This window comes from Homo sapiens, chromosome 12 (genome assembly GCF_000001405.40).
Source record: "Homo sapiens chromosome 12, GRCh38.p14 Primary Assembly".
NCBI classification, from domain to species: Eukaryota; Metazoa; Chordata; class Mammalia; order Primates; family Hominidae; genus Homo; species Homo sapiens.
Window position 1 is genome coordinate 10,086,127 of NC_000012.12, and position 13,167 is coordinate 10,099,293.

General features: G+C 36.4%; 1 protein-coding gene across 6 annotated transcripts in view; it reads right to left on the reverse strand.

Moving 5' to 3' along the window:
• The window catches only part of CLEC1A (C-type lectin domain family 1 member A), a 29,432-nt gene extending 16,573 nt beyond the window's left edge, over positions 1-12,859 (reverse strand). For 2 of the 6 annotated variants that reach the window (NM_016511.4, XM_011520687.3), the window contains exons 1-2: positions 12,682-12,859; positions 2,998-3,096 (exon numbers count right to left, since the gene is read on the reverse strand). In NM_016511.4, coding sequence (NP_057595.2) covers positions 2,998-3,096; positions 12,682-12,796 — 214 coding nt within the window. In that variant the 5' untranslated portion in view covers positions 12,797-12,859. Of the gene's footprint in view, positions 1-2,955; positions 3,097-6,295; positions 6,394-12,681 lie in introns of all 6 variants that reach the window. The other 4 variants (NM_001297749.2, NM_001297748.2, NM_001297750.2 and 1 more) reach the window with 3 other exon arrangements.
• Positions 12,860-13,167: the final 308 nt, after the last annotated feature.

Below are 13,167 nucleotides of genomic sequence, written 5' to 3' on the forward strand. Positions count from 1 at the left end.
CTTTGAACAGAACGATAATATTGGTGACACAACTTATGAAAACCTCTAGCATACAGCAAAAGCGGTGCTAAGAGGAAAGTTCATAGCATTAAATGACTACATCAAAATGTCTGAAAAACCACAAATAGACCATCTCAGGTCACAGCTCAACAAATTGGAGAAACATGAACAAACCAAACCCAAATCCAGTAGAAGAAAAGAAGTATCAAAGATCAGAGAAGAACTAAATGATATTGAAATGAAAAAAAAAAAAGAAATACAAAAGATAAATGAAATAAAAAACTGGTTATTTGAAAAGATAAATAAAATCAATAGAACGTTAGCAAGGTTAATCAAGAAAAGGAGAGGAGATCCAAATAACCTCAATTACAAATGAAACGGGAGATGTTCCAACTGATGCCACACAAATACGAAAGATCACAAAGTCCAGAGGGGATAGATAAATTCCTGGAAATATACAACCCTCCTAGATTAAACCAGGAATAAATAGAAACTCTGAACAGAACAGTAACAAGTAGTGAAATTGAAACAGTAATAAAAACATTGCCAACAAATTAAAGTCCATTCACAGATGGATTCACAGCTGAATTCCATCAGACATTCAAAGAAGAATTGGTACAAATATTACTGAAACTGTTCCCAAAAATAGAGAAAGAGAATCTTCCCTAAATCATTCTATGAAGCCAGTATCACACTAATACCAAAACCAGGAAAGCACAGAACAAAAAGAAAACTACAGACCAATATCCCTGATGAACACTGATGCAAAAATCATCAACAAAAGGCTAGCTAACTGAGGCCTGGCACGGTGGCTCATGCCTGCAATCTCAGGACTTTGGAAGACCGAGGCAGGTGGATCACCTGAGGTCGGGAGTTCGAGACCAGCCTGACCAACATGGAGAAACTCCGTCTCTACTAAAAACACAAAATTAGCCAGGTGTGGTAGTGGGTGCCTGTAATCTCAGCTACTCGGGAGGCTGAGGCAGGAAAATCCCTTGAACCCGGGAGGCGAAGGTTGCAGTGAGCCGAGATCATGCCACTGCACTCCAGCCTGGGCGACAGTGTAAGACTCCATCTCAAAAAAAAAAAAAAAAAAGACTAGCTAACTGAATCCAACAGCACATCAAAAAGATAATACCCCATGATAAAGTGGGTTTTATCCCAGGGATGCAGGGATGGTTTAACATACACAAGTCAATAAATATGACACATTACATAAACAGAATTAAAAACAAAAATCCTATGATCATCTCAATAGATGCAGAAAAAGCATTTGACAAAATCCAGCATTCCTTTATGATTAAAACATTCAGCAAAATTGGCATATAAAGGACATACCTCAAAGTTATATATATATATATATATATATATATATATATATATATATATATATTTGTTTTTTTTTTTTTTAGACAGAGTCTCACTCTGTCACCTAGGCTGGAGTGCAGTGCAGTGGTGTGATCTTGGCTCACTGCAATCTCCGCCTCCTGGGTTCAAGCGGTTCTCCTGCCTTGGCCTCCTGAGTAGTTGGGATTACAGATGCCCACCACCATGCCTGGCTAAGTTTTGTATTTTCAGTAGAGACAAGGTTTCACCATGTTAGCCAGGCTGGTCTCCAACTCCTGACCTCAAGCGATTCGCCCGCCTCAGCCTCCCAAAGTGCTGGAATTACAGGCATGAGCCACCATTCCTGGCCTAAAAAAAATGTATAATTTAAATAATTTATCTATGTATATTTATAAATAAATAAATAGAAATGTGGAGTTATAATATTAGTTCCTAACTTCAGGAATAAATTCTTAACCTATATTTACTGCTTGATAAATATTTTTATGTATACTCTCAAATGTTACTCAACATAAAACCGCCAATCTGTTTATATGTTGATCATTATATTGAGTATTGACAATATACCATATATTGTTACTTATTCAGTTATTGAAATAGTGTTATTATTTTTTCCATGATTTTACAGTTTGCAATTAGGATCATTGAGAACAAGTAAATTCCTAACATCATTTGACTAGAAATTTTCAACATTCAGATTTGAAATTCAGGTCTCTACATCTAAGTATAGAAATCCCTCATGAATCATAAGAGTTCCTCTATATTTCCAAGAATAATGGTGATTGCAAAACAATAGTTCTATCACAATGAAACAAAACTTTTGGGATCAAAAAGGGCAACAAGAAGTTATTTTTAATTTTGAAATATAAGACACAAACAGAAGTATTAAAATTCCTATAAAACCCAATTTTTGACATTAAAATCTGCTCTTCTATATAACATTTTTCTTTGAATAACTGTTCAAAGAACAGTTAAAAGAACTGTTCAAAGAACAGTTAAAAGAACTGTTCAAAGAACAGTTATTCAGCTGTTTAGGAAACATTGCTGTGGGGTCTTCACCTACTGAGGCAAATTCATCCACTTTCTTTTTTAAGCTTTTTAACTTGTTTTTACTAGTTTGAAATTTAAATATTTTTAGATATGCTTTTTTCCAATTTGATTTTCACAAGTTTTTGTAAAGTGACTGTATAACTTCCTGGCCTTTAAAAAATATGGTGATTAAGGAGTTTACCTACTCTCCTTGTATTGATGGTACCCGTGGCTCTATGGGTAGCATATTCTGCACTAGCCCACTGAACCTTGTATTCTCAGAGCCCAAACCTCTGATACCCTAGTCTTTTGTGGAATGGGAGAGGGCTGAAGCATGCATTTATTTAAAATAAATGATTTTTTTTAAACATTGACATACAAACAAACAGACAAAACCCTTCTTATCTCAAACAGAATGTTTAATTCTAGTTGGCAACTGATTTTTTTTTTACTTCTTCTTCCATTATTCACTATTTAAATAGTTGCCATTTAAAAAAAGATACACTGAATTTTCCAAAGGCTAAGGAATTAAAGTTTAAAAAACAAATCCATAACAAGTGTTTCTCATCCTAGACAAACCTTGGAACCAGGATCCTCCCCCAGGTCAGAGCGCAGACTTACACAAAAGCCCCAGGGCTGCCAGCCCTATCAGCAGCACCAAGCACAAAGTCAGCAGGGTCAGGGCCACTGGTCGCCACGTTGAAGAGGGAGCCCTGTGCTCTGCAGGGAACAGAAGAGAAAGCAGAGTTTGGCTTTTTCTTCCTCTTGCATCTAAGTCAATAACAGGTAAGGGAGTGGAGTTAATTCTGCACAAGAACAAATTAGGCTGGACAACGGTAACAGGGGCTGGATAACCTGCTTTCTGTCCTCAGAAACATCATCATAAGGCTCAGTGCAAGCCTCACTTATCACAGCTAGATTTTCTCACAAGCCCCACCCGTTTGTATCCACCCCTCAAGTCTTACTTTGCACTGAATCACACTATGCATTACCATTATCTTTATGTGGTTCTTTGTACAACCTTCTGCTTGTCAAAATTCTAATTATGAAAGACTCTCACGAAAATGTCTGAAACACAGCCTGAGAATCTCTGAACCTTACCAAGGGACAACTTTTTACATAATCAGGGGAAAGATGAAATTAATTTGTTGTTACTTTTGAAAAACATCCCCCTTCCCCCAAGTTCCGTATATGCTTTTTCTAAAAGGCAAATTGCATGTTAGTAATGGGAAGTAATAATTTTACTGTTTTTCTGTGGAATTGCTTAATTGAAAGTCCCGCTATTGTAAGGATATTGTTTATTCATTCATTTGATTTATATTTTTTCAAAAATAGATTATAAAGAAACATGATAATCAATTTCAGAAAGATGAATCTAAACTATTTTTGCAACAGTTAAATAATTTTTAAAACTGTGGCAAACATGGTTTCCTCGCCCTCCATTCCCATAAGTTTGACTAGTAATTGCAGAGGTTTTACTGTAAGTCATGAGTAGACCCCTCACCTAGTGAGGTCACCTATCTGAATCTGAATGACCTAACATATCTGAAGGGAAGAGTCTCAGTCAGGTGCAGGTAGCATCTAGCACTGTGATAAAAATGAAACAAAGAGAGAGTGAAACCCTCAAACAAACTGTGATCTCTTTGTAGCCCGTTAGTTCTACTTCACTGAGAATTCAAGTCACGTTCTGAAACAGAAAGATTAAAGAGATCGGAGGGGCTTTTTGAAAGGAAAATTCTTTTCCTTCTAGCAAGGTCCTATACATAATACATTCTAGGTACAGAGATTTTCCAGGCTGGAGTGCAGTGGCGAGATCTCAGCTCACTGCAACCTCCGCCTCCAAGGTTCAAGCAATCCTCCCACCTCAGCTCCTGAGGAGCCGGAACTACAGGCACGTGCCACCACGCCTGGCTAATTTTTTTTTCCTATATTTTTGTTGGAGATGAGGTTTCACCATGTTGCCCAGGCTGCAGGCTGTTCTCTAACTCCTGAGCTCAAGTGATCCTCTAACCCCGCCTCCCAAAGTGCTGGGATTACAGGCATGAGCCACCGCGCCCGGCCAATTCTAGGTAGAGATTTATATGAAACGTTATTTCCAAATGGGGAATGATAACTAGTAAAGAATATAGAAATAGACAGTATAATTACTATCCTCTGGAACTTACAATCTAGTAGGCAAAATAAGTTAAAGTCTCGGAGAAGACATACTGATACATTTTTAAATGTGAATCTTATTTCTTAGCAATCATCTCCTTCATAAGTAGCTTTCATTACATTTAGAATAAAATACAAATCACTTTTCACAGATTGCTCCTTTTTTTAAAAAAAATGGCAATTTTATTATGCTACTTCCCTACTTAAAAACTTCAAAAGCTTTATTGCACTTAAAATTAAATCCTGCATTAGTCTTATTGAGACCTTCCTTAGCTCTTTCATGCCTTTCTGAACTATTTTCCCCTCACTCACATGTACTCCTCACAACGGTCTCCCGTTTAGTCCTTGATCTGATCAAGCTTGACCCTAAGCACCTTGTATCAGCCCTACTTCTGCCTCTGCATTAATTTCAGTTTCAATGGCACATCCTTGGAAGAGGTCCGTAAGTCCATCTCTAGCAGATCACTCACCCTGTACTAGGTAATCTTTTCATGACTTTTGTTTCTTTTTGTCTGTCTCCTTTCTCTCCATTTAACATTCCATTACAACAATGATCTTGTCTATCTTGTCCACCAGTCCATTTCCACTACTGAAAGTAGTGCCTGGGACATAAGGGCTGAGTAAATCTTTGACAGCTTAAATAATCAAAAAATGAAATAATAAAAAATTAATATGACTTAAACTATTTAAGTTTTAAAGAGATAAGTGGGTTCTCCAAAGTTAAGTTTACAGGTTTTTGTTTTTGTTTTTTTTGTAGGCTATTGATTTTCAGCAACATCTATGTCAGCAGAAAACAGACTCAGCTAAATACATCTCCCAGCCATGTTGGTTTCTATACATTGACTTTTGTGAGATTATATCATGAACAAATCTAAGGGAGATTTGCTTCCTCCTGTTTCCTTCAGTTAACTGAGCTATGTGATTTAGTCTTAGTTTTTCTGGAAAAAGATGGTTTTCTCGTGGTATTGACTGTAAAAGTATTTCAGATCAGCAGAACATAAAAAAAAAAAAAGATTAGAGGCAGAATATATAGTTTGGGTTAATCATCCTCTCCAAAACCCTATATTTGTAAACTTCCATACAGTCCAAGAAAGTTAATCATATGGATGTTTCTAGATTCCATAGTTAAAAGTGCTTATGTGAGCCCACCACCATGGTGATTTTATTTTTCCACATACCTCTTATTACCATTAAATATATTGTATATCTTTGTTATTTCATTTAGCTTATATGTGTCTTACTCCAGGAAAAATTAAGCTCCTTCTTGGAAAATATTTATTTATCCATTATTGCAACCCAATTCCTAGGGCAGTAGTTGAAATAAGCTCAATTAAATTTAAATAAATGAATGAATAGGTCCATTATATACAAATACCTGTGTTATATGCCTGCCTACCCTTACTCAAACACAGTTACATTAATATGCATCTCAAAGTCATAATAATTTTTTAAATCCTGTGACCTCTTATAATTAATATTTGTCTGGCTGAAATTAAAAATAAGAAGTAAAGGAGAAGAACTATGACAGTCAACCAACTTATTTATCTCTTTATAAATCTGTTTTCCGCCAGGCACGGTGGCTTAGGCCTGTAATCTCATCACTTTGGAATCCTCCCAACTGAAGCAGGAGGATTGCTTTGGGCCAGGAGTTCGAGACCAGCCTGAGCAACATAGTGAGATCCCATCTCTACAAAAGATAGCAACATAGTGAGACCCCCATCTCTATAAAAAATTTTTAAAATTCATCAGCCATGGTGGCACACACCTGTAGTCGCAGCTACTCAGAAGGCTGAGGTGGGAGGATTGCTTGAGCCAGGGAGGTCAAGGCTGCAGTGAGTCGTGATCGTGCCACTCTACTCCAGCCTGGGTGACAGAGCAAGATCTTCTCTCAAAAGTAGTAATGAAATGAAATGAAATAAAATAAGATAAAATAAAATAAATCTGCTTTCTCTCGCATAATATTGAGGACATAGGAGTTGTTGTTTTCTGCCCAAAGGACCAAAAAGAGTGAATTTAAATTCCTACTGTGAAGTGAGGGCCTGGACTTTAGAAATCAGAACATCTTTCAATAATAATTATATTCATGAAAAGAAAAAAAATACATGATCCTTCCTAAGATTGCCTCTAGGGCAGAAAAAATAAAAGAAGTATAACAGGCTTTAAAAAGTTTTTAAAAATCTCTTCTAAGAAATCCTCTTTCTCTGATCAAATTTTCATATTTTGAAATTTTTCTTCTCTCTTCCCATCTCCCTCTTGCTCTCTCGCTTTCTCTCTCTCTCTTTTTCAAAATTCTCCTTCCAATCATTCTATATAAAAGACATGGAGAAACACAATCCTAGGGAGTTCATCTTCCAGGAAACCAAGCTCCCATGACGGAAAGTCCATGAAACTGAAAGTTTCACTTTTTCTTTTTCTTTGATACTATTTTTCCTTCTAGATGTTTTTCTTCTAACTGTGAGTCTAATGTTTCTCAGTTTTATTCCAAGTGCTCCTAATCATACTGAAGTCTCTCTCCAGGGATCACCCTCACCCTAACATGAGACAGATTTTCACAAAAATAAGATGCCTAGGAGGTCGCTTGAGTTTGGTTTGGCTTTATTGTGGTTTTATTTTTTGGAAGAGAACCCCTTTGCTGTCTCCTGAGGCATGTTTAGAAAGGGGTGTGGACAGGCCAAGGAATGATATAAACATCCCTAGGAATAATAAGATATATATAGAAAAAAAAAAAAAACCTTTCCTGTATCCTCTTAGTATTAACCATACTATAAAAGGCCTTAGTGCTAGGGTCAAATTTTGGATACCAATTACTGTGTAATTATATGAAACTTTGTGGGTGGAGAGTTGTCAGACTTAACCAGTTACCCTTCATCAGGCATCAGAGAGGGAAAATTTTGTTTTCCACCCAAGAAACTAAGCTGACATTACCATATACAGTCTATTAGTATACCTATGAAATGCAAAAGGTCTTAAAAGCTGGAGAAGACACCGAGAGTTTAAATAATGTGCATGTTACAAACTAGTTGCAGAGCTAGGATTAAATTATGTTTAACGCTATACTCTGCACACTTTTCCATGAGCCAGTCAGGAATCACAGAGACATGGGGGCAAAACTGGTGGCAATGTACATAATATTTCAGAAAGCACTTTTTCATCCCTTTGTATTTTGAAATGTAAACGTCTTTGTTTCCTTAATCCTCACATATGGCACATAGGAAACTTCCTCATGGGAATCTGAGTTCACGGGTTGAGTCTGCTTTTCTGTGTTCATGTAAATGCAGGTTTCTTTTCTCTTATGAATCTATTTCAAATATTGCTATTTTCATACTCTCTAAATGAAAATCTGTGTTATCCTTCCTATTATTTGAAAAGAGTATACATCTAAAAACATATGAGCTATTTCTAGAATATCATTGAGGTTCTAATTCACAGTATTTAGAAATTTAATTATATTTTTCATCTTCAGTAAAAGTTAGGTGACTCAATTTTATATCCCCATCAACAGATATTATTTACTGAAATATAATTCAAAAACAACATTACCATTAATGATAATTGCTCAAATTTCTTGAGTTACTGAGAAAAATGTCTTATATGAATGTTCTCATCTAGCCTCACAAACACCCCCTATAAGGTAGATATTATTATCTCATTTTACAGGTAGGGAACTGAGGCCTAGCAGGTTTAGACAGCTTATTCAGGAACACACAGCTACTATTAGCAATAGTTACTAATGAACTATTAGTAACTCCCCAGGATTGTGTTTCTCCATGTCTTTATATAGAATGATTGGATGGAGAGTATTGAAAAAGAGAGAGAGAGAAATAGTTATTAATAGTAACCATAAGTGTGTTCTAGATACACATTATTTCACTGGAAGCAACCTTTACAAAAATTGAATTACCAAGGAGTCACTTAAGTTGCCTAAGTCACTAAGTTGCACAGAGCTACCCAAGCTGACTGATTCCAGAGCTGGACATTTTCAATCATCTTCCTATCCTCCCAACACATCTCAGATCAATATTTATACATGGCAGTGCATCTGGAATCATAGAATGACAGCAGCTTGCAACTTTTCCCTTCTACATTATGAAATGTCCACTCTGCCAGCAAGATGAATTCTGAAAGCATAAATTTAATCATACTTCCTCTCTTCCATAGGAAGAAGTTTCCCAAGGCTCTTTCTGTTTTAGTCAGTTTCTTAGTGTACTGTATCAGGCTCCTCCTAATAGGATCCCATTTTACTTCTTAGCCTCATGGGTCCAGATCATGTCACTTCCTCTGGGAACTCGCAAAACTAAACTCAATCAGTAACTCATTCATTCCTATATTGCTTCTGCGGCCTCCAACATTGATTTAATAGCACTAAATGACATTTACTACAACTATTGATTTAGAGTATTCCTTCCACTTCTCTAAGCACCTGAAAAAGAGGCTCCTCTAGTACATCCCATAATGTCTTGTCATTAGTAGGTTTGATTTAAAGAGTTGTTGAATCAGTTAACAGCGATTTATGTCATGACTGTGATGAGGGATTTATGCTGTAATTGAGGAAATAAAACTAAAACGCTGGGAAATTCAATAGTACTGTAATTAATGTGAACAAGGGAAAAGAGGAACTTGAATTTATTATTAAATTTTTTAAAATTATTTAACCAAAGTAATTTTTCATATTCTTTTGATAGGATAAAATTTAGTCTCTGGCAGGAATCTCAGCCTGTCAGTTATTTCATCCTCTCTCCTCTTACTGTACTGTTAATGTGAAGTTCTCTCCCTGAACTTATTTTCAATCTACAATTGAGTTAGAATTTCCCACATCTTAAAAAATCATTCTTAAAATCTGTCACCCAATGCTGTAATACCTCAGCAATAACCCATTTTATCTTCAAAAAAAAAGAGAGAAAGAAAAAGAGAAAATGACTTAAATTGTTTATTTTATTATGTAACCATCAGTTCCTTTTCAAACCACTGCTGTCAAAACTAAATATTTTCCTCCTTATTGATAAATTGTTAAATAATCATTTTAGTCTTCCTTTCGCTTAAACTCTCTGCAGTATTTGTTATTTGTTGTTTTTAAAACTCACAGTCATTATCATTGACTTTTCTAAAACTCTTGAATTTATTGTCCTTCCATTACTCTAATTTTCCATTACTCTTGAATTTATTGTCTCTTGATGCCCTTGTTGTCTCTCTCCAAGACTCCTGCTTCTACCACTCTCTGCTATTCATCCCTGGTAGCTCCTTTTGGAATCTTTCATTCTTCTTGCTCCTCAGGTGTTGATATTCCCTCAGATTATCTCCTTGACACTCTCTTCTGTTCATTCATGTTTTCATTTTACATTCCTTCCCTCAGTGATCTCACTCACTCTCATACATTTTAGTTACTAGCCATTTATTTGACTTAATGACTTAGGTACCTCATTTACTTTATTTATTTAATTACTATGCCAGTAATTCCCACATGTCTATGTAGCCCAACCCACATCCTGCATATACGGGTGTCTTTGGACAGCTCCAAATGCATGTCCCTCCTTCTGCAGACCCCTTAAACTCAAACTCAATTCATCATCTTTCCTGTCCCTTCTATAGTTTCTGTCTCAGTTAACATCAGCACCATCTACATTACATCAAACAGAACCTAGTCAACCTACCACCGAAGTCCCTTTCCTTGTCTCCTCACATGTAACCAATCACCGATTATCTAAACTCCAACACCTCGACATCTTTCATATCTGATTCTTTTTCCTTATTTTTACTATACTGCCTCAGTTCAGGTTTTTCTACCCTTGTACTGGACTAGTGGAAAAATTTGGTATCAGCACATGCAGTTTCATATACCTTCAACTTATCATTTCCATTGCAGCCAGGAAGGTCTTTCCAAAATGCAAAATTTTGTTTCTCCCTATCTAAATCCTGCATTGACTTCATTTTAACTATTGAATAGAATTAAACTAGATCAGCATGCCCTAAAATCCCTCCTTAACTTGCCAGACTTACCCCTTTGCTAAGTTTCCCTCCTCCAACTCTACACCTACGCCATACATATTGCTTATAGTTCTCTAAAAATACAAAGCTACTGAAAACCTTCATGACTTTCCCTTCATACGTCTCTCTGTCTATAGTGTCCCCAGCCTCTCAAACACCCTCACTCCCGATTCCTTATTATGTGGAAGATGTTAAAATTAACTCAACTCCACAGTTGCTCCTTCTGTTAAGCCTTTCCTGAACTCCTCTACTTAATTAGGTAAAAATTAAGCCGAGAGCTTGGTTAAGCTCTCGGCTGTACTGTACATGCTTCTGCCATAACACCTTATTATACTTACTCCTTAGTTGAGAATTGTATTAGACTTTCAATTTCCTTATGAACAGGGACCATATCACATTGGACATTATATCCTCAGTACTAGGATAACATGACCCCAAACATAAGTTTGTGAAAAATGTATGAGGTTGTTGTTTTTCATTTTCACTATCTTAATTGTTTGGCATTTTTACTATCTTAATTGTTTGGCATTTTTAAACACAAACATAGTTGTTACGTCAATTGTTATTGACAAAAGTCTAGAAATTAAATGAATGTGTGTGTGATTTATTTTTATTAATTCTAAAAAATAAAAGTTGCCAGCTCTTAATGGTATCACATCATTATGTTGAATCTGAATCCTCCACATTGCCGAAAATTTCTGAGTGATTTCTGCTGTTATTTTTATCAGCGAAGGTATATCAGATATGTTTATCTAAGAAATAATTATACTTCTATGATGGTATTCCCCTAAATGTTTGTATTACCATAAAAAGATGAAAACAAGATCTCATATATGTTGCCTAAGATAACTATTTCCAGATGATTTCTTCCAAGACAATTCTTTGTAATCTCCACTTCTACTGTTTCAATATCCATTTCTTACAAAGAAGCTCCCAGATGTTGCAGCTAGTGTTTTATCTTGCTCCACCTCCCTCTCCACCCTTCAACCTCAGCAGAACTTATTTGTACATGCTGTTCTTAATTATGCTGATCTCTAGTCCTTGACAGAGTTCCTGGCTCCAGTCAAAGGTGGAAAATGAAGTTATATACAAGCTACTCAAAACCACAGCCGTAAAAATGGACTCTTCGTAAGTTTTTTTGGAGGAAAACGCTTTGTATCCTATTACACATATCCTGTGGCTACAAAAGCTGACATCCCTACTTTTGTCACTTAGCTTCATTTCAAAGAGGTTGGAAATCCCCAATGTCCCTTAACAGCTTACTGGGTAGTTTAGTTAAAAAAAAAAAAAGCCATATTAGTAGGTTTCAGGTGGAGGGTCATTTAATAAATAGAAATAAATAGAAAGTGAATGGAGGGTTTAGTAGGAGAAAGGAAGGAAAACTAAAAGTTATTTGATAAAGAAATAAGGAACAGGATAGTTTTTTTTTTTTAAAGGTATATCCAGATTTACAAAGGTGAAGAAAACAATGATATAATCAGAAGGGAAAGGGCATATTAAAACACAGGCACTGAATGAATGTTAAAATGTGGGATTCCTTTCAACATTCCATTTCTTAAGAACCTAAAGTGTTCCTTTCAGCAATTTTGTGTCAGTCTATATCAGATCAGACAGACATTCAAATATTTTACATAATTTATCATTCTCAGTACTCACAACCACCTTGTAAAGGAAGTTTTATTACTTCTATTTAATATTAAGTCAAGTTAATATGAATTAATATACTTAAAGTATTTAAAACACTGCCAGCACATAATGAGCCCTTTATACATGTTTGTGGCCGTTAATATTTTATAAATAAAGAATATGATGCTACCAGGATACTTAAACAACTCATCCAAAGTTACACAGAAGGAAAGTGGCATACCTGGTTTAGGACCTAGAACCTAGTCCTGTGTATATTACCATGTGAGTCCTTTTCACTAGAACTGAAGTCATATTTTAGCTTTAGATTGGCTGAGTGGCCCAGGAAATAAAATCCTTCTCTAAGTGTGGGAATTATGGAACTGAATATAACTGAAAAAAAAAAATCACTACTATGTCACAGGGCGAGTAATTGGAAATAAAATTATAAGATGCAAGCTAAATATCTCCATTTCTAGGAGGGATAGATCATCTCACACATTTCACAAGGACTGTGGTCTATTTGGACTCCAGGAGACAGGGTACCTGTGCGCCGGGGCTCTGGATGCCGAGTTGTGGCAGAGCCTTGAGAATGCAGGCTCATGGTGGTGTCCCCATCATCATCCAGCATGTCCCTCGTGCTGCTGTACTTGGCCTGCATCTGGATTCCTACAGCGGTGAGAGTGAAATGTGGTCGGATTGCCCTGGGCCGCCGGGCTACTGTGAGCTAGTTCAGGAAGCAAGGCACTAAAAGGCATTCCTAATGTTCTTTCCCAGCGAGGGGCAGGGAAAGTCTCTGACTGCAATTCCTGACTGGACAGGCCCAGCCCCTCTCCTGTGAGCTTGTACTCTGAATGCCAAATCAGTCAGGCTGAGGGGAAATAGCATGTGTTTTCTGTTTAGGCCGTCTCAGTCTAAACAGTTGTCAAAAAGTTGGCCTTTCTCAGGTCTTTTTTGTTTACCTGTTTGCATTTCTCATGTAACTTCACTGTAAAGAAGGCAAGAACTTACAATAGCACGGTGTAGCACTGT